General features: G+C 44.3%; 1 protein-coding gene across 11 annotated transcripts in view, besides 4 other annotated features; it reads left to right on the forward strand.

Annotated features, from left to right (window-relative positions):
- Positions 1-20,204, forward strand: part of NAV2 (neuron navigator 2) — a 776,366-nt gene that overhangs the window by 341,319 nt on the left and 414,843 nt on the right. The gene's annotated exons all lie outside the window — the stretch shown is intronic.
- Positions 11,179-11,342: a silencer, noted in NCBI's record as "fragment chr11:19719279-19719442 (GRCh37/hg19 assembly coordinates)". NCBI's record gives its function as "represses an EF-1alpha promoter that drives an FKBP-Casp9 reporter gene in an ReSE screen in HepG2 liver carcinoma cells {active_cell/tissue: HepG2}" and the evidence as "EXISTENCE:reporter gene assay evidence [ECO:0000049][PMID:32094911]".
- Positions 14,532-15,046: an enhancer, noted in NCBI's record as "NANOG hESC enhancer chr11:19722632-19723146 (GRCh37/hg19 assembly coordinates)". NCBI's record gives its function as "activates a minimal SCP1, AML or CMV promoter by ChIP-STARR-seq in naive H9 embryonic stem cells {active_cell/tissue: H9 hESC(naive)}" and the evidence as "EXISTENCE:reporter gene assay evidence [ECO:0000049][PMID:30033119]".
- Positions 16,454-16,954: an enhancer, noted in NCBI's record as "H3K4me1 hESC enhancer chr11:19724554-19725054 (GRCh37/hg19 assembly coordinates)". NCBI's record gives its function as "activates a minimal SCP1, AML or CMV promoter by ChIP-STARR-seq in primed H9 embryonic stem cells {active_cell/tissue: H9 hESC(primed)}" and the evidence as "EXISTENCE:reporter gene assay evidence [ECO:0000049][PMID:30033119]".
- Positions 16,955-17,455: an enhancer, noted in NCBI's record as "H3K4me1 hESC enhancer chr11:19725055-19725555 (GRCh37/hg19 assembly coordinates)". NCBI's record gives its function as "activates a minimal SCP1, AML or CMV promoter by ChIP-STARR-seq in primed H9 embryonic stem cells {active_cell/tissue: H9 hESC(primed)}" and the evidence as "EXISTENCE:reporter gene assay evidence [ECO:0000049][PMID:30033119]".

Genomic DNA, 20,204 nt, shown 5'->3' on the forward strand with positions numbered 1-20,204 from the left:
CACAGTCTCCTCTCACTTAAAGGGGTTGTGAGCAAAATAAGTTCACATTGTCTGGTGCTTGGATGAATAAAGCATGGCTGCATGGGCCTGCCCAGGTGGGGAGGACCCCCAGTGTGGGAAAAAGCAGCATGTTATCATGGAGAGAGCTCCACAGTCCTAGACTCGAGGAGGCCCGGATTATCACTGTTATATCCTGGCTCTGACCTTCAATAAGATACTCCCTTCTCTATCTGGGTCTTAGTTTCCTCACATAAAGTATGGGGGTTGGACTCAATTATAACATTTAGTCTTTAATGGATACTTCTTAGTTTTTGCCAGGCCCAGGGCTAAACCCTTCATATGCAGTACAGGTAATTCCCACAGTAACCATATGAGGCGGGCACTATTATTAGCCCCATTTTACAGATGAGGAAACTGCAGATTAGAAAGTTTATATAACTTTCCCAAGGTCACATGACTAGAAAGTGGCAGAGGTAGGGTTTCAACACATTGAGCTCTTAACCACTTTGCCTCCCCTCCGAGGACCTGCTGACTCTGTTATTCTAGGAACATGAAACTGCCCAGAGGCTCAGAAGGTCAGTATGAGATCTAAAATTATTATGTTCTCAATACAGCATTCTCCCTGGAACAGGGAGACAGCGCAGGCTGTCAGCCCAGCATCTCCGAAACACTGGTAGCCCTGGGAGCCATACAGCAGCTCTTGGCTGCATTGACACTTGAGAGCCAGAAAAGAGCTAGAAATATTTCTTATCCAGATAGTCAATCTCCAGGTTACAGCCTTCCCTCTCAGCCATAACCTGGTTCTGTGCTTGTTTTTACATTTAAATTTTCATTGAAATATTACATGCATTCAGAAAAAAGCAAATATTATACATGAATTATCTCAAAGTGAACACACCTGTGTAACCACCATCCAGGTCAAGACATAGAACATTACCAGCATCCTATTAGGTCCCCTCCTAATCATTATCTCCCAGGTCCTGTGTGTTTTTATCTGAGAATATTCCCTGGAGCTATGGAGAAAGGCTGGAATAAGAAGTTAATTTTCAAATTATCCTTTCATCTCCAGGGAAATTGTAAGTCTGCAGGAGGGATGTGGAGGAGGGGAGGAATGAACACAAGATGTACTAAACCCTCAGATATGGCAAATGGCTGCAGGTTCCAGAGAAAAGGGATGTGTGTACATGTGTGTGTGCACATCTGTGTACATGTGCATGTGTGTATGCATGCGTGTGTGTGTGTGTGTGTGAACTTTGTTGGCAGGAGGGAGGCCAGAGTGACTGGCAAGTGTGGGATCACAGAAAATGAGTGCCTCAACCTCTTGAGTTAGGACAGGTCTCATTGAGAAAGAAGGTCATGCTTAGGGAAGTGTAGGAGATTCATCTAGAGAGCCCCTGTGCCCTAGCGCTGACTCTCATCCTCCATCCAGGTGAAGTTGCTACAGACTCTAGCACTGCAATCATGCCTGCTAGGGGATCTGTCTTCTGGTTTCTTCAGAGATCATAGAATGGGATGAAAGAGGGGAGGCAACCCAAAACACACCCCCAATTTGGGGAAGGTCTACCTAGAGTTGGCTCATTATCAAGCTGAAGTATTCTTACATGAGAAGCAAAGAATCCCAATTACAGCCTTGAATTGCATGATTATGAAGCCCCTGAAAACTCTTGGAGGGTTTTATTGGCCTTATATTTGTTGTACATAAAGGAACAGAAGACTCTGTAAAGGAGAAAGTGTAATGCTTAGGCAAGCTCAGAGTCTGAGCTAAACCTTGACCTGTGTAATCTTATCCATTCCAACAAATGCCTTGGGCACCATGAATGTTCATCCCCTAACCCCACTGAGTGAGAAGCTGTGATTCTCAGACTATGCCGTGGTAACAGAGGTACACAAACCATAGGGAAAACCTGCAGCAAGCATCTTTCCGGGCATCAAGTTTACTTTACATTTTAAGAAAAAATATATGAGAAGTAAAAATATTTTCTGAAGCAAAACAAGGAGAATTATTAAGTAGAATGATAATATTCATATGCTCTTTTCAAATTTCAAAGACAAGCTCTGCTATCAGGAAGCTTTGGATGGTCCCTTTGCTCTGTGCACCAGTCACTCAGGGGGATATATATCAGCTCTCTCCTACTAAGAGAGCTTTTGTGGGCAAGGCTGAGAGATTCTGAACAAAGGAGTAATCAAAGTATATTATATAATGTGGGGATAGAGTTAGTATCAGGCTTTACCTCTGAAAGGAAAGTGGGACTATGAGTATAGGCATGGTATGCCGCAGTTAGCCTGGGATAGTCTCGGGTTGTGCCTTTTATCCAGGCACAATTATTAATAGCATCCCCTTTCACTGCACAAAGAGCCCAATTTGGATGAAAAAAATCATATGGTCATCCTGGCTATGAAAAACTAGATTATTTTTTCAGAGAGTAGAGGAGGAAGGCTGTAAGCACATTCCCTGGCTGAAAGTAACTCAGTATAAGGAGAGCTCTGCACATCTCCACAAAGAGCTCCTGGAGGCATTGGGAATCTAAAAGGAAGGAGGATCCCAATGTGGCCCTTCTCAGTATTCCATTCTTGGCTGCCCTGGTCAAGGCAAAGTTGCTCTAGACAAAGGCTGTGTGACAATGCTGGGACAGAGTTATGAAAGCCAGGCTGAGCCAAGCCTCAGCCAGTCCCTGGAGCAGCCAGAGGTGGAAAATCTGTAGGGCTAGTGCAAATTATATTCAAGGGAGTCAGCATGCCAAACCCAAAATAATTTGCCAGCTCCAAGGGATACGTGCAAAGACATCAACAAGAGATGAGACAAGAAGCCTAGAACCAGGAATGGGAGGAAAAGTTGGGGAAGAGGACTGCAAGGTAGGGACATGGGAACAGGACTCAGGGCAAAGACATCACTGGGGGCCAAGAGCTGGCCACAAGGCTGGCAACAGCCCGGTTGGGTCAGAGGCGTCCGCCAGGAGGACGGTCCTCCCCAGGCTGCATTCATAATCAGCCAGCTAAATTGCCTTTTGGTTTCTGATTTTGGTGGCATTGCTGTGATTACTTTATAAGTAGTTCTTTTTACAGAAAATTTTATTCATAAGAGAGGAGGGGAGTCTTAAAAAAGGAAAGGACTTATTTTAGCATTAACCCTTTTCAGATTATTTCACAAGCAGATGAATTCAGCTAATCAGCTTGCCCGTTCACTGGCATCAGCCTTGCCAAAGCATGTGTTTGCAGGGTTTTGGTGTCACTGTAGCACATGGACAGAGTGTCTTTCCACGAGACTTTCATCATGAGGGTGCTGAGTTGAAATAGAAAGATTGCCATGGTTGCCAGATGCACGATACTGACTATCATATGAGAATCAAACAAATGCTGCAGAAAGAACCTAGAGTTTGGCCTTATGTGTTGACTTGATTCATTTACATCTATTTTATTTTACTTTTTATTTTTTGAGACAGAGTTTCGCTCCTGTTACCCAGGCTGGAGTGCAATGGCGTGATCTAGGCTCACTGCAACCTCCGCCTCCCGGGTTTAAGTGATTCTTCTGCCTCAGCCTCCTGAGTAGCTGGGATTACACCAACACGGCCGGCTAATTTTGTATTTTTAGTAGAGGTGGGGTTTCACCATGTTGGTCAGGCTGCTCTAGAACTCCTGACCTTAGGTGATCCACCCACCTCCGCCTCCCAAAGTGCTGGAATTACAGGTGTGAGTCACTGCGCCCAGCCCATTTACATCTATTCTAATATTTTCCTTTATTCATGCTTATGTTTACCACCTTATAGTTTTAGGTCACTCCTCTCCTCATCAGGCATACCTGCATGGCCAAAGTCTGGTGGTTTCTGAGTGTTAACCAATTGCCAACTGTATGATCTTGGACCACTTACTTGGCCTCTCTGTGCTTTAATTTCTTCATATATTAAAAAGTCATGGTGAGCCCTATCTTTTAGGGTCATTGTGAGTGTTACAGGAGACAATACATGTAAAGCATTTAGAATCAGAATCAACACGTAATAAGTGCTCAAAAATGTTAATTAATTAAAATAAAGTTTGGGGGATCCAAAGGAGGCAGTGACAATGGGGACACATGTGTTGGTTCCCCACCATATGTGAATAGGACTGATGCAAAAGCCAAAGTAAAAACAAAACAAAACCCTCCCTAGGATTTTCTAGAAATCTTGGTAAAAGGAGCTGGTTTTAGTCCTACCAGCTGGTGCAAGAGAAAGCTCCTGCAGGAACTTTGAAGTTCTTCTAGTCCAGGTTCTTCATTTGCTGGATGGGGAACTGGCCCCAGAGAGGGGCCAGTGGCTTACCCAAAGTCACACAGCAATTTCAAGGCAGAGCCAGAAGTAGAACCCAGATCCCCGATTTTCAGCACACACCAAAGCTTTTCTCTTTCAAAGTCTTTTCTGCCACACCCCTCAAAGCTGACCTGGTTGTCAGCAGTAAAGCCAAGTGCCTAGGGAATGAGCTAGCCCAGAGCTTCTGAAACTTTTTTGTACAAGTGAATCACCTGGGGATCTTGTTAAAAATGTAGGCTTTGCTACAGTAGAGCTGGAGAGTGGCCCATGAATCTGCATTCTTGACAAACTCCCAGGTGCTACTGCTGCTGTTCCAGGGATCACACTTAGATAAACAGGCTCTAGGCCAGCGTTATCCAGTAGAAATAGAAGGCAAGCCATGTATGTAGTTTTCAATGTTCTAGTAGCCACATTAAAAAACAGAAAAAAAAAACAGATGACATTCATTATAGCAAATGAAATCATTTAACCCAATATATCCAAAATATTCCCATTTCAACCTATAATGAATACAAAAATTATTAATGAGATTTCTCACTTTCTTTTTTTCCTTCCAAAATCTTCTAAATACCATGTGCATTTTGGAGTGAGAGCACATCTCAATTCAGACTTGCCACGTTTCAAGTCCGCAGTTGTCACATGTGGCTTCTAACTGCAGTGTAGTTCCAGGCAGTTTCTCAGTGGGTCTCAGCCCCACTTCCTGACCACACCATCTTTTTTATTTTTATTTTTATTTATTTATTTATTTTTGGAGACGGAGTCTCGCTCTGTGGCCCAGGCTGGAGTGCAGTGGCATGATCTCAGGTCACTGCAAGCTCCGCCTCTCAGGTTCACACCATTCTCCCGCCTCTTGGTTCTTCCTTGGGTTTTTCCCACTGTGGCATGCTCTTCCCACTGAAGAACAGCAGTCCCCACTCTCACCCAGCCTCAGCTTCCTGGAGGAAGACAAGGGCAAAGAAGCCCAAAATCCACCTTACGTCATTCATTTCCTGACCACACTAGAATTATCTGGGCCAAAAGACCCCTCCCTGGCTGGCACTATGGTGTCAAAATGCACAGCTAAATGCTTGAAGGCCTGTGTGTTCTGCCTTCAATTAGGAGACAGGAGCTGACAACACTTTCCACATGGCTCAGGCCCTGCCACTGTCTGGCCAGGTGGTTTGAAGGGTTTTGCATGAGGCCAGCCATTGACCATGAGAGACACAGTCTGTGATTCCATGGCCAAGTGCCAGCGTGACATCTGTGGGCCCTCTGTGATTTCAGGGGCGGCTCTTCTCCTGCCAAAATACATCAATGGGATCCATCTGACAGTTTTGGGTGAGCATGCAGACTCACTGGGAGAAAGACCCACACTGGCTGAGGGCCTCACCACCGGGGTTGCGGGTGTTGTCTGAACTAGAACGAAGTCCGCAAACATCTTCCCCAATCTGTGACCTGCATGTGACTCACCAGGCACTTCTGTTCATATGTACCCCCCGGAAACCCAGGTCTGAGAAGCCAGGTCATTTGTATGTTGAAGCACCAACCAAATGTATGTTTTTGCTTGCTTGTGTCTGGGAAAGCTTGTAGCTTGACGCTACCTAATGCTAAACATATGACTTATCTGGAAACATCTAAGTATGCTGTGGTCTATAGACAAAACATCCACATCTATAAGGATGTCCTGATTAATGGTATTTTCTGGTAAAGCAAAAATCATTCCTTGTTTGAGTCCTTGTTGTTGCAAATCCTTCTAATCTTGGATTGAGTTTTTCCTACCTTAGTAAGTAGAATCTAATGAGCAAAATCAAATCTTATCTAATGCCTCAGTGTCCTTAATTGCCTCCACAGGCATTTTGCATATTGATCATACAGGCAATTATACTTCATTCATTCAATCAGCAAATATGCATTGAGTACCTGTCACAAGCCAGGCATCGTTCTAGACTCAGGGGATGCAGCAGAAAAAAACCCTTGCTCTTATGGAGCTAATATTCAAGTGTGTGCATGTGTGTTGAGGTGAGGGGAGATGGGGATGGGCAGCAAACAAGCTGATAGCATATACATTATACCAGCTGGTAGGTGTTCTGTGTGCTGTTGTACATTTGATAGGCTCCAAACCGAGGGAACAGGGCAGCCAAGGCTGCTCCCCGATCAGGACAGGTTTTGCTGCCTGCCCAGGCTCTACAGGGAACCTGACCAAGACCTTCTCTCCAAGCTCATAGCCTCCTATCTAACCAAAGGCTGGCACTTGCCAATTAAGCAGATCATTTGGTGCCCTCCTGCCCTTGTATTTTCAGATTAATCTTGTCTCTTTCACGTATCTACTACCAGCCCACCTCTGCCAGGGCCCTTGGTTTCCTCTGTGTTTGAGGTGGTGCCTCTGCGTGTGACTCTCACCCTCCACAGGGTCCCCTCGTGATGGGATGGGAGGGGATGCTGTGTTTCGAGTGAGATAGCCGATGGCTTGTTTGTAACATAGACTTTTCCCATTGTCATGAGGTTGGGGCGGCAACAGCTAGAGGAAATACAAACAACAATTTTCCATGCCCTATTTCTGTCTCCAACCAGGAGTGCCATGCTGACACAAACACAGTGTTCATTTGTTCAGTGTTTGAAGCTGAAATGTACCATAAATATACCATAGCCCTTCAAAGGGTGGGTTCACAACAGTCTGCTTTAAGAGGCCACCAAAGTCATCTTTTGAGGAAAATAAAACAAAAATATATTTAGAAAACATTGCCCTTGGGGGAAATTGAAAACATTTTTCCTATTTATGATCTGGTCCTTTTCCACTTGACAAACACTGATTGCTGTTTCCCACCCACACCCCTGCCCTTTCTACTGTTTTAGGTGGAGCCCAGATTCACATGGTTTTCTGGTTAAATAACAAGTGTGTCTGTCCCAGTCTCAGCCTAGTAGAGCCCACACACCAGCGACTGGTGTAACATTGGAGGCCAGCACTGTTCTAGGAAGGATAGAACATGGAAGACCCTGGCTTGAGAACCCACTAGAGTAGACTACGGTCTTCTTTAGAAAGATCTCTTCATTGTAGCTGGAGGGAGAATGTTAGGAGATTGGACTGTAAAATATCATTAGGCCGATGTATAGGAAATCACCATTTTTGAGTCAAAAGTAGTTGTTATAGACAATTTCATTTAGTTCCATCTAAAAATAAACAGCTGCCATTTATTGATTATTGCCTGTGTGAGCTAAGCAATTTACATGAATGATGTCATTTGATCTTCACAATAACCCAACAGGGTGGTGTCTCAGGTTGGGTTCCACAGAGGCAGACGCTAAGATGAGGATTTGTGACTTATTGAAGAAGGGCTCCCAGGACAAACCAGTAAAGGAGAGGAGAGTAGGACAGGGACAGGGATACAGCCAAGCAAGGATGAGGTTTCAGGCAGAGTCCCAGCCTCAGCTGCACTGTGTGGGGAGTTCTGGAGCTTAAATTACACCCACTGCAAGGCAAATGAGCTGGGTTTTCATATACCCACAGGCTGCCCAGGGAGTCAACCCTCAGACACAACCAGCTCTCTGCATGCATAGGTGAAGGGGCAGGCCTCCGAGCAAGCTCACAGGTGCCGATCATTAGAAGCAAAGCACAGGGAAGCCAGGGGAGGGGAGGGCCGCTGAACAGGGACCTATGGTACTCTGGGCAGAGCATCTTCAGGGTCCACTGGAGGGAGGTATTAGTTTTATCCTATTTTACACTGAAGAAACTGAGACTCGGAAGGATGAAAGTAACCCACCTCTGGTCATAAAGAGATAGGGCCAGAACTCTATTATCCTGAACTGGCCATTCTGTAGAACTCCCACTGTCACTTCCAATGCCCTTAGTCACTGGGGTCAGCTGGTGGTGTCTGGTCCCTCTTTTCCTTAGAATGAAATTTTAGAGCCAGCTTGGTTCATGCAGATAGACTAGGGGTGCAGGGACCACCCAAGGGACCAACAGCTATTGCTCGTCTAAGTCCATTTGGCAGCAAGCTAGGACTTCTTGTCACATTAGCTCTCCCTTGTACCTCTCTAGGTTGGAAAAAAGGCCTTTCTTGGGCCCAGTTCGGTGGGATCTGCTGACATGTTCCTCCACTGTCCCCGGAGCCTGTTTTCCCTTTCAAGGTTCCCTTGGCAGAGGCGGGTGTGACCTGATACTCTCTACCTCAGTGGCCAGCAGCAAAGTGCTATCCAGTGCCACTGCCTGAGAGAGCTGCCACCACTTGGCTTGGATCAGGGAATGTACTCCCAGTATTCCAGGCCAAGGGACACACTGGCATCAGAACACCTGATTAGGGGATCACCTCCCACTGCTGCCTCTTTGCTCACTCCCCTGGCCAGGTGCAGTCAGTTACCTGCTCTTATCTGGCAACCCAAGGTGGCCTTCAGGGAGTTGAGTCGGCACTCTCCGGTCCAAAACATGACATAGTGGGAAAGATACAGACTTTGGAGTCTGCAATCCAAGTTCAAAACCCAGTTCAGCCACTTAATAATGGAAGTGGTTATTTAACTTCTTTGTACTTCAGTTTTCTCATCCGTAAACAGGGAATGACAATACCTGGCACAGAGTGGACTTTGAGGAATATTTGCTCCCAGCCTTTTTTTTTTCTAGATTTTGCCTTACCTGGCATTGTTTTCTGTCACATGACCTATCCTGACTTCAGGTCATTCTATGCATTTTAATACAGCCTAGCTGTCCTGGGATTGATTGGCTGCAGGGTGCAAGCTGGAAAATGTGTTCCTTATTGTCATAAAGAGTTTTGTCCCTTCTGGTTTACCATTTGAGTTCTGTCTAAAGACACTGGATGGGCCGGGCATGGTGGCTCACGCCTGTAATCCCAGCACTTTGGGAGGCTGAGGTGGGCAGATCACCTGAGGTCAGGAGTTCAATACCAGCCTGGCCAACATGGTGAAACCCAATCTCTACTAAAAATATAAAAATTAGCCAGGCATGGTGGTGTGTGCCTATAATCCCAGCTCCTCAGGAGGCTGAGGCAGGAGAATCACTTGAACTCGGGAGACGGAGGTTGCAATGAGCTGGGATCACACCAGTGTACTCCAGCCTGGATGAAATAATAAAATAAAATAAAATAAAATAAAATAAAGACACTAGATGACCTGCTTTTTTTTTTTTCTAATCCTGACTAAGGCCTTGTTCACTGAATCCCATTCTACTCCATATGCTAATGGTTCCTTGAATGAGGCTTGGCTTGCTAGGACATAGCACAGGAGAAAAAGCAAAATGCTACATGACACTGAGATGCTGAATCATGCCCCCATAACCTTCTCCTCCATACATAGAAATGCTCTCCTGGTTTTTTCGGCAGCCTACTTGAACATCAATCACATCGGGAAAAAAAAATAAAAAAAATAAACTGGCTTGCCACCAACGCCATTGTGCTAAGAATAATTTCTGTCCTAGCAGTACAGCTGGTCAGAAACATTTCCCAGTGTTCCCATCTGGAATTAGGTGTGAGGATTCAGGAAGTGCATTTGTCCATTTCAAGTCTGAACCTGGCATGGGCCTTGAAACTTGGAAGCCTGACAAAAACCTAAGAATCCTAGAGTAAATGTCCAAACACTGACCTGCCCAAAAATCTATCTCATATTGAAGTCTCCTTCTCTTTTGTGTGTTGCATGACTCTCATTTAGTCTATTGTTCCTAGTTTTCCAGGAGTCAGTATTAAATATCAACCGTATTTACTAAGGCAGAGCTTAGTTCAGCTCAGCGTCTCACAGTGGAGTCCTCAGCCAGCATAACATCTTGATGATCAGGATCATGGTTTACTGGTTCTGGTTTGAAATTGGTTCTTGATGATAGTGGCTGGCTGTCTGGCTTCAGAGAAAGGATTGTTTACATTTTAATCTTCCAAATAAATAGAATTATTCATCCACTCAAAAACTATTCCCAAGATGCTGACATTGCAGCAGGCATTGTGCTCTCTAAGCACCAAGGACTTTAAGCACAAAAAGACACCTTCTCCACCCTCTTGGAGATGATAGTTTGATTCAGTGGTTCCTAACCCTGGGCTGCACGGTAGAATCACCTAGGGAGCTTCTTATAAGTAGTGTTAAGATATGATTTTCCTCTTTAATCCTCACAATAATCCTACAATATAGATAGTGCTGTTGTACACATTTCAAAGACAAGAAAACTGAGGCATAGATTGGTTGAGTCGCTTGCCCGAGGTTACACAGCATTGTGGAACTAGAATAGGACCACAGAAGGTGTGCCTTCAGAGAGCTGTACTTACCTCAGAACTATCCTGGAATACTATGCAGCCATAAAAAAGAACAAAATCATGCCCTTTGCAGCAAATGGGTGGAGCTGGAGGTCATTATCCTAGCAAACTAACGTAAGAATGGAAAACCAAATATCGCATGTTCTCACTTATAAGAGGGAGCTAAGCACTGAATACACATGGTGGTAAAGATGGGAACAATAGACACTAGGGATTGCTAGACAGGAGAGGGAGGGAGGTGGGCATGGGCTGAAGAAACACCTGTTGGGTTCTATGCTTTTGGCCTGGATGATGGGATCGTTGAGACCCCAAGCCTCTGTGTCACACAATTTACCCATGTAACAAATCTGCACATATATCCTTTAATCTATAATAAAATTTGAAATTTAAAAAAAAAGGAACTGTCCTGCCTCTTCCTGAATAGGGCAATGCAGGAAGAGACAAGATAGTTCTTTTTTTTTTTTATTTCAGATTTTATTATAGAGGAAAGATTAAAGGGCATGGCATGTCTGGAGATGGCTGGTGCAGGTGGCAAAAGAAAAACTAGGGAGGGAGGCAAGGATGGGGCAGGAGGGGTCTTGGGGACCCCGACTGGGACACTGGGTTTTAGTTAGGTGATTGGAATAGTTACCACCTGTAACAACTAGACTGTGAAGGCATTTGCTGGGAGGGGCTTAGCATACATTTCTACACAACAAAAAGTAGGTCATTGTCTTCAGAAGAGAGCAGGGAAGGTGCAGATGCTTGTGATGGCAATTGGCTCTGACAGCAGCTCCGTGCTGAGTGGGGAGGAATGTGAGAAGGGCCTCCTGCTCCTTTTTCCCACTGAACTCTTGCTTTGACACGTTATCGTAACGCTGGGGTCAGTCCTAGAGCAGCTGGCTCTGTGCCTCCTTCCCTGGAAGCTGCCTTGCCTACCCAGCACTTGTGCCCACTCAGATCATCAAGCCCACCAGAATCTTCACTACACTGTTGCTCAGAACCCACTCATCACAGCACAGGGCTGAGTGCTGATGGGGCTGCCATGGAGGAGCTGCAAACCCACTTCCCTGCTCATTGTGTAATCCAGGAGAGAACGGGGTGTAATCGTTACACACATGAGCCAGGGTTTGAATTCCAACTCCATCATTTACCACGTGACTCTGAGCAAGCCCCTTGACCTCTAGGAAGCTCACTTTTCTCATCTGTAAAATGAGGTGGCCATCCCTACTTTGCAGCTTTGTTTTAAGCATTGGGGATATAATTCACAAGGGACCTAGTAAATGTGTCGGAGGCCCTCAGTAAATGGCAGCTGTTATTATGCCTGCTTAACTGCCATTACTGAATTCTAGATCCCCGTGGGCCCAGAGAGCCCTGGTGGAGAGCCATTGAATAAACCCCTTATTTTGCAGATGAGAAAGCTAAGCTTGAAAAGGGCAGTGGCTTTCCCAAGGTCACCCGGACTGTGAAGAGCACAACCAGGAGCAGGAGCTACCTGTGAGAGGCCTCCTGGCTCCAACCACAGAGCAGAGGTGAAAAGTTCAGCTCCAGCTTGGCCACGGCCACCCATAGCCTTTGCTCTGATTTCCTCTCTCCACAATGGCACAGACACAACCTTTCTGGAAGGGTTTGTGTGGACGAGTAAGCTGTCATTCCAAAGTGCTGAAAAGTACTCCACAGGTGCCAAATCATGACTCTCCATGGATTTCAACACCTCGGTTGGCATGCCTTCCCACCAGATGCAAGCTTCATGTGGACAGTGCTCACGTGTGTGTGTGCATGTGAGAGAGAGAGAGTGTGTGTGTATGTGTGTGTGTAGGCGGGTAAGAAAAAGGAGAAGGAGGGAGAAGACCACTTAGAGGATTCCAGACATTCTGAAGTCCTTTTCCATACCTGAACTCCAGGACATTATGACTTAGCCCCCTGCCTTATGAAGAAGACCACTGCTAGCTACTTTTGCAGTTGTTCCAGATCCTACTTCCAGCCACCTGCTAGAGAAAGGCGTGAAGAAGGGCAACTGGCCTAGGGCCCCCACTCTGTGGCCCACAGTGAATCAGTAACACTGTTGCTGAAATCTTCAGCAAACAAGAAGCACAGTCAGGAATTCTGTGCCAGGTTGCTGATGTCAAATGGAGTGTCTTAGCAAAGCATGGAGTTTAGAATCAGACAATTAAGAATTTGAATGCTGGTTCTTCCTAGCTCTGTGACCTTGGGCAAATTACCACTTGTGTACCTGTTTCTTCGTCTGTAAAAGAGGGGAAAATATTACTTCCAAGCATTGTTTGAAGCAATTAAATGGGATGAAGACCCTGGTGCATAACTGTTTAGTTCTTACCCCAAATGCTGCCACCAGCCTCAGTGGCTTCCTGTGCCTGGGTTACCATAGCACCTGAGCTGATCCTGGTATCCCCTTGATTTTACTTATGGATTTTGAAGAGTCAGAAAGATACCAGTATGAAGAGGTGGTCACTGAAAGCAAAGCCTGTTTTCCAAGAAAAGGCATCTCACTTGGAGATGATTGCCTTGGGCACCTCGTATATTTGGGGCAAAGGCAGCTATTGGTGATGAGGGGTAGGGATCTGCTTTTATCCCATATGTGATACTCCATAGTAGAAGAGTAGTGCAGCACCTTGAATAGACGACTTTGAGATAACAGACATTCATAGCCTTACCATGCATTTCCTTGTGAACCAAGTTAGTTAGGCAAGAGGTCAGATGTGGACAGATGTGATCCAGGACTGCAATGAGAAAAGTTGAGCCCCTCTGTGCCTCTCCTGGCCTGCAAAACTGCAAGTAAAGTGTCTACAGGGAGCTTCCATCACACACTCTCTAGCTTCCTTTTCCTGCCTGGTCCATTGTGGATGCCCCAGCTCTGCACATACAGATCCCTTACCCAAGATGCTGGAGGATCCCCGTGAGCCAGAGGGACAGGGATCCCCAATGGGCTCATAGCCTCAGATTCTGGGCCTTCACTTAGTGTCGTAGCAATGGAAATTTCCACACATTCAGATATATCCATGGCAAGGGATCATGCAGTGGCCCTAAGGTAGGTGGGAGAGGAACTGTGGCTTGAATACTTAATGTGTTCCAGGAAATATGGTAATCATAATAATAGTGGTGGCCATGTGTTAGTCACTGGTTTAGTGTTTTACCTATATTCATTTAATCATTCCAACAACCCTATGAGGGAGGGACTGTTATAAACTCTATTTTACAGATGAGAAACCTGAGGCACAGAGAGATTAAGTAACTTGTCCAAAGTAACACTGCCAGTAAGTGGCACAGTTCGGACCCATGCAGTCACACGTATGCAATCAAATTCCAAAATCATCCTTTTAACCAGTAAGCTCCACTGCCTCTCTTTAATCTTCCCCCTAAATCCAGGAGGTGGGCCTTATTACCAGCAGAGGTAAGAAACTGAGGCTCAGAGTGGTTAAGTGACTGGGCCAAGATCACACAACCAATTAAGCGCAAACATCTGTGAGACTCTACTTCACTAAATAGCTTCCAAAAGAGCAACCGAAACCCTGACATTATCTCTTACTCTACACAGAGAAGTGTGGGGTTGGGGACCCAGATTTTTACCCCTCAATGCCCAGACCTCCACCCGAAGCACACTGGCAGGCAGAAGCAAAAGCCCTATTCTTGCCTGGTCATCCTCTTTGCCTTTCAGATCCTGGCCCCAAACATCTAAAGGGGTCTAAGATGTCTTACCTGCTAACATAGCACTTGCCTCACTTAGTAATTATACATTCACTGATGTGGTTATGTAATTACAATTTCCCTGATTGGAAGCTCCACGAGAAAAGAATTTTGATTCTTACTAACATTTTATCACCAGTGACTGGCATGTTGCCCAGCATTTGGTAGCAACATAAAACGCTATTAGAATGAATGAATGAGTGTAGCAGCTATAAGGTTCTAGACTTACACCTGGCCCTCTGTCTCCATTATCTCAAATCCTCACAAGAACTTTGTGAAATAGTCGTCATCATTCCTATTTTACTGTTGAAGAAACTGAGGATCAGAGAAGTGAGGGGACCTTTGCCTCAATCAGTCAATAAGAAATGAAGCCAGGCACCACAGTGAAGTCTGCCAGATCCAGCCTCCGTGTTCCCCTTTTTCACCCCACTTAGAAAGGAACCTGATAATAAACTATCTAAGGGGTTGGGGGTTGGTGGGGGGTCTGCCAGAGTTTCTCCTGTAGGGAAACCAGAAGAAAATGGGGTCGTGGAGATCAAAGGCAAGGAAAGTGCTCAAATGGCCACGGTCATGGGAGGGGATTCTAGAAGACTGCCTTTGATAACTCAGCAGGAAATCAGCTTTGTCGGCCAGCCGCCTTTGAAAACTGGATTCTGCATACTCAAATCAGCCCTTTGTGGTACCCCTTGGGAAGGATAAGACCCTAACAAGCAAATGATTCTGAATGGGAGTTAATTCAACATTCTGATGTTTTTTGAAAAGATGGACTTTGTGGAAATGAAGCCAGGATGATGATGATGCTTAGTAGTTTTCACTGCAACCTCAGGGAGACTAACTTTGTTTGGTTCGTATTTGAGGCACTTCCAGACTGCCTTGAAAAGGAAATTCTGATAAATGTGTGTGAATGTCTAAAATTCTTGTGCAATGTGGAGCTTCAAGAAAGTTGCCAGGCAAATTTTTGGAAAACAATTTAATAGTGTCTTGCCCCACTGTTTATAAAACAATATCTTTCTAAGCCAAAAAATAAAAGACAATTCCTGTGTATTTTGTTTTTTTCCACCCGTGAAGCTCTGAGGTTTTATTTGCCTTGGATTTGGAGAGGGAACGGAAATCAATGCAGCTGTTTATGGTCTCAAATCTTCACACAACTTCAAATGCTCTCAGGGCCCAAAAGATCCTCATGGGTGTCTCTGTTTTGTTGACAGCTTTTAGACCATCCTTGAGCTCAGCCAAGGGGTAGCATTAACTAGAATTCCCTTTTACATGTGCCCTGCAGGGTTCATTTCTGGCATCCCACTTTCCTCTCCATCTTCTCTGTTTCTGCAGGAAGAAGATTGTCTTGAGGCCACCAACATCATTAGTTATAGAGGCAAGTTGATAGATCAGTCAGAAAAGAATTGATTTCCTAGTCCTTGTGCTCAGGGGTGGTCTTGGCACTTCTGTAGACAATGATTCTGTGGGATCCGCTTCCCTGGAAGGAAGGGAGAATAGACGGAATTTCTGGGGTAATGGTTTTTAGTTGTGTCAGAAGAGATCCCACTTGTCAGTGACTTTGTTATACAGATAACCTCCCTTTAACTAGAACTGGATTTTCACTTTTTGGTTGCTAACATAGGTTTTGTTTATTAGTTTGGGAGAAGGAGCTCAATTCTCCTGCCTGAAAAAGGAGAGGGCAGAGATGGATGTAAGCTAGTTTTCTGCATTTCCACATCACCAACATTTGCACAGGGCTTGGTTCACAGCAGGGCTTAATAAGTGTCCTCTGAGGCCAAGCACACACACCTGTAATCACAGTACTTTGGGAGGCCAAGGCGGGCAGATTGCTTGAGCCCAGGAGTTAGAGACCAGCCCGGGCAACATGATGGAACCCTGTCTCTATGAAAAATACAAAAATTAGCTGGCACAGTGGTGCATGCCTATAGTCCCAACTACATGGGAGGCTGAGGCAGGAGAATTGCTTGAGTCCGGAAGGAGGAGTTTGCAGTGAGCTGAGATGGTGCCATTGCACTTCAGCCTGAGTGACAGAGCAGGACCCTGTCTCAAAATAATAATAATAATAATAATAATAGTAATAATAATAATAATAATAAGTCCCTTGAATAAATAAAAGGTTAAAACAAATGAGAATATTTATTTGAAAAAAAAGGAAATCCCATGGAAAAGTAAGTTAAAGCCACCCATAATTCCAACTTTTAAAAATAATGGTATAAAATAAGAAATTAATAGTCCCTAATTTACCCCTCAGAAAGAACTGCTGTTAACAATTCGACACGATTCCTTCCTTCTTTTTCCTTCTCTTTATAAACATGTTTATTTATACGTATGTACACACACATAAATATATTAGCAAAATAATTTTAACAGTAGGCTAATATATATAAATAATAAAGAAAATAATATTTTTTTAAATTACAAAATGCATACCAAAGCTCTAATTTTTGTTAAATTATCCACTATTGAGGTTTTTTTAGGCCAACACATCCTTTTATTAGCACAGACCTTCATGAGTTAACTCTGCTCCAAATCCTCCTCTCAGAGTCCTAAACCCTGGGCACTGGGCCTCTTCCTGGAGGTCAGACATTGACCAGCAGCACCTCTTCCATCTGAGGCTCACCAGGCTCCATGCCTGGGGCAGAGTCAGAGGGTAGGCATGAAGGCTTCCAGGATGACAGCAGTAACCAAAAGAGGAAATGTGTTGAGAGAGCCGTGGGGAGGTGGGGAGCATCGCAGCTCAGTGCCTGGTGGCCCTGCAGGAGCAACCGGTAGAGTAACGAGTAAGGGTCAGGCTGCCTGATGCTACCCGCACCGCTGGAGCTGAGGCGGCATTGGGGGGATTACCTGGCTGTGTTTGGGCTGCATGGGCAGCTGGACTGGCTGAGTGTTTCTGTCAAAAAGGAAATCTCACTCAGAAAGTAATAGAAGGCCTGGATTTTTCCAGATTGGCTGTTAACATAGATTGAAATTATCCAGATTATTGCCTCAGTAATCCCCCACTGTAAAGTGTTGTGAGAGCAAAGCCTTTGCAGCGCTTCATAAAGCCATGTTTTTCAATTCGTCTGCACCCAGAGAGCTTTCTCAACATTCTACTGCCTGTGCCCACTCCCAGAATCTGATTTCATTGGTCCAGGGTGGGACCAGGACAGCCTTAGTTTGTGGATTTCCCAGGTGACTCTAATGTAAAGCCAAGGATGCAAAGCAAAGGGGAGGACCACTAATTCAGAGTAACCTCATTGCTTTTTTCAAATGCAGACTCACAGCTTCAGAATCCTAGGTCTGGTTTTTTTTGGGGGGGTGGAAGGGGGTAGGTATCTTTTCCTTTAACAAGCAGCCTGGGTGATTTTTAGGCTTCTTGTTTAAGGAGTACTGGTCGAAGTTGTCTTTGCCTCCAGATGAACATAGCAGGAAGCCCTGTCTCAGAGCACGAACATCACGCAAAGACCACCCCCTGTAACTGGTGATCTTTCCTTGCCTTATTATTAAGACCATTGTCATTAGCAAACTGGGTGACTACCAAACCTTTCCACTCATTTCCTCAACTTAAAATGGACTCATTCTGCCACCACTCAGGAGTGCTGTGGGGATTCATTTAAATGCCATATATAAGGCAGATCTTAACCGTATCAGAAACAGGAAGTTACATTATCATTTCCATGCTTATCATTATGATGGCTATTCCTTTGATAGTATACTGTCTACTGTCCAGAGTCCAGGCACTGGAGTCAAGTCCTGCTCTTCTACTTAATTGGCAGTAGGATCTTAAGTAAGATACTCAAACCTCTCTGGGCCTCATTTTTCTCTTTTGTAAAATAAAAATGGGAATAACTATCTACCTCATGAAATTGTTGTGAGCATGAGAAATCATGTATGTAAAATGCTTACCTTAGTCTCTGGCACATAAGAAGAATAACTTCATAAATTACAGTTCTTATCAGCATCATCATTATTATTGGGTCAACTATGGTTGCCTAGTCATATGTGTGGGAAGAAGAATAGAGGCCGGGCGCGGTGGCTCACGCCTGTAATCCCAGCACTTGGGGAGGCCGAGGCGGGTGGATCACGAGGTCAGGAGATCAAGACCATCCTGGCTAACAGGATGAAACCCCATCTCTACTAAAAATACAAAAATTAGCCGGGCGTCGTGGCGGGCGCCTGTAGTCCCAGCTACTCGGGAGGCTGAGGCAGGAGAATGGCGTGAACCCGGGAGGCGGAGCTTGCTGTGAGCAGAGATCATGCCACTGCACTCCAGCCTGGGCGACAGAGTGAGACTCCGTCTCAAAAAAAAAAAAAAAAAAGAAAAGAAATAATTTTTAAATATCAATTTGAAACTGAATTAACTAGACCTCAATTCGTAGAAATAAATAAATAAATAAATAAATAAATAAATAAGTCTTCTGTAATAGTGAAAAAGTGGGTGGAGAATTAAAAATAACAAGCAGACAAACAAACAAAACAAACCTTGCATGTCAGATCCAGCCTAGAATCTGAACATACTCAGCTCAGTGTCACCTTTACTTTTTGCAGGTAAAGCCCTAGGTGGTGCTCACTCCAAAATACCAGCTAGAGCCAACTGTTTGGACTGGAGAATCCAGACGTTTTGATTTCCCTCTCCCTATTTGACCTCTTTGCCCACACATATAATTGATACTTATCTTTTATTTACATTTTTCCTGGACCCAGCTCCTTGTTAGAAGACATTCTTAATTAAATTTGCCTGGTCATTCTATCTCACATCAAACAGGAAATCCAATTCCCTGTCTGTCCAGGATTCTGCAAATCACTGAATGAGGAGCAAGGGTGATGGGGAAGAGGCACAATTTCATTCTCGTGGCCATCCCTGATTACATTTCTGCTCCCATTAATCTTAGGATCTCACTCTTGTCTATCTCTTTTCTCTGTTCTCTTCCTTCTGTGCCAAAACAACCCCAAATTCAAAACTTATCTCTTTAAAAAAAAAATAGCAATGTTCCCCCACCTAAAGAAAAATCAAGTCACTCCAAGTATTTGGTAGCATAGCAGGCTTTGTTGCTATTTTGGGAAAATAAACGGGTTTTACTTTGGCACTTTTGTCTGTGTTTTTTGTCCTCCTCAGTAGGCTCTTCACACTGCTCTGGCTACTCCATTTTTTGGGAGCCCTTCATATTGAACCGCTCCCAGGAAATGGAATTTTTCTCACTTATTATAGATGACAATATAGCTTGACCCCTGGACTCTAGGCTGACCTTCACATATCCAAATGCTCACTAATGTATCTCTAAGACCATATACTCAGAGGACCTCTTGAGCAGCTTAGAACTGGCAGACTTCGAAATCTCAGACTTGGCACTAATAGATATTAGTGCCTGAATATGGAAGGAAGTGATATGTGATTTATATTTCCACTGATATGATTTATTTACACAGCCTTCTCCCACCTACAGAAAGTGAAAGTAGTCACAGTCTAAGTTTTAAATAAGAATCCTTTTCTTCTATTACATTATATTTAGCCATTGTTTTATTGAATACAGGCTTTCCTCTAATCCTTTGTGGGATGAGGCAAGATGTAAACAAAGGAATGTTTCCTAGACTTAACTTATAGAAGTAGGAGAGTGGAACATACCTCTTAGAGTTTCAACACCAAGGGTAAAAGCAAAAAAATTCTCTCTATTACTTTAGGTTTTTTGTTACAAAATTAAATTAATCAACATACCTGATAACCCCACAAATAGTTGACCCTCCTTTGTGCCTGATTTATCATTGTATATTTTGTGCTGCCTCTATTAGAGTATTGGTTATATTGTTTGTCATTCATTTATTCCCCTGTTTGGTTTCCCTACTAGATTGTGAGTTGTTTCTGTTTTTCAGTTTCGAGAAAGGACAATCCTCAGGTGAGAAACAGCAGCTACATCCTTCTTTGAAACTTGAGAGCCGAGAGCAATAACTTATTCTTATCTGCTCTCCATCATAATGCCCAAAGCCAGGCACATAGATGGCTTGCAACAATTTATTCCTTGTATTAATTATTGAGCCACTGATTAATCAATGG

The sequence above is a fragment of the Homo sapiens genome, chromosome 11 (genome assembly GCF_000001405.40).
Source record: "Homo sapiens chromosome 11, GRCh38.p14 Primary Assembly".
NCBI lineage: Eukaryota > Metazoa > Chordata > Mammalia > Primates > Hominidae > Homo > Homo sapiens.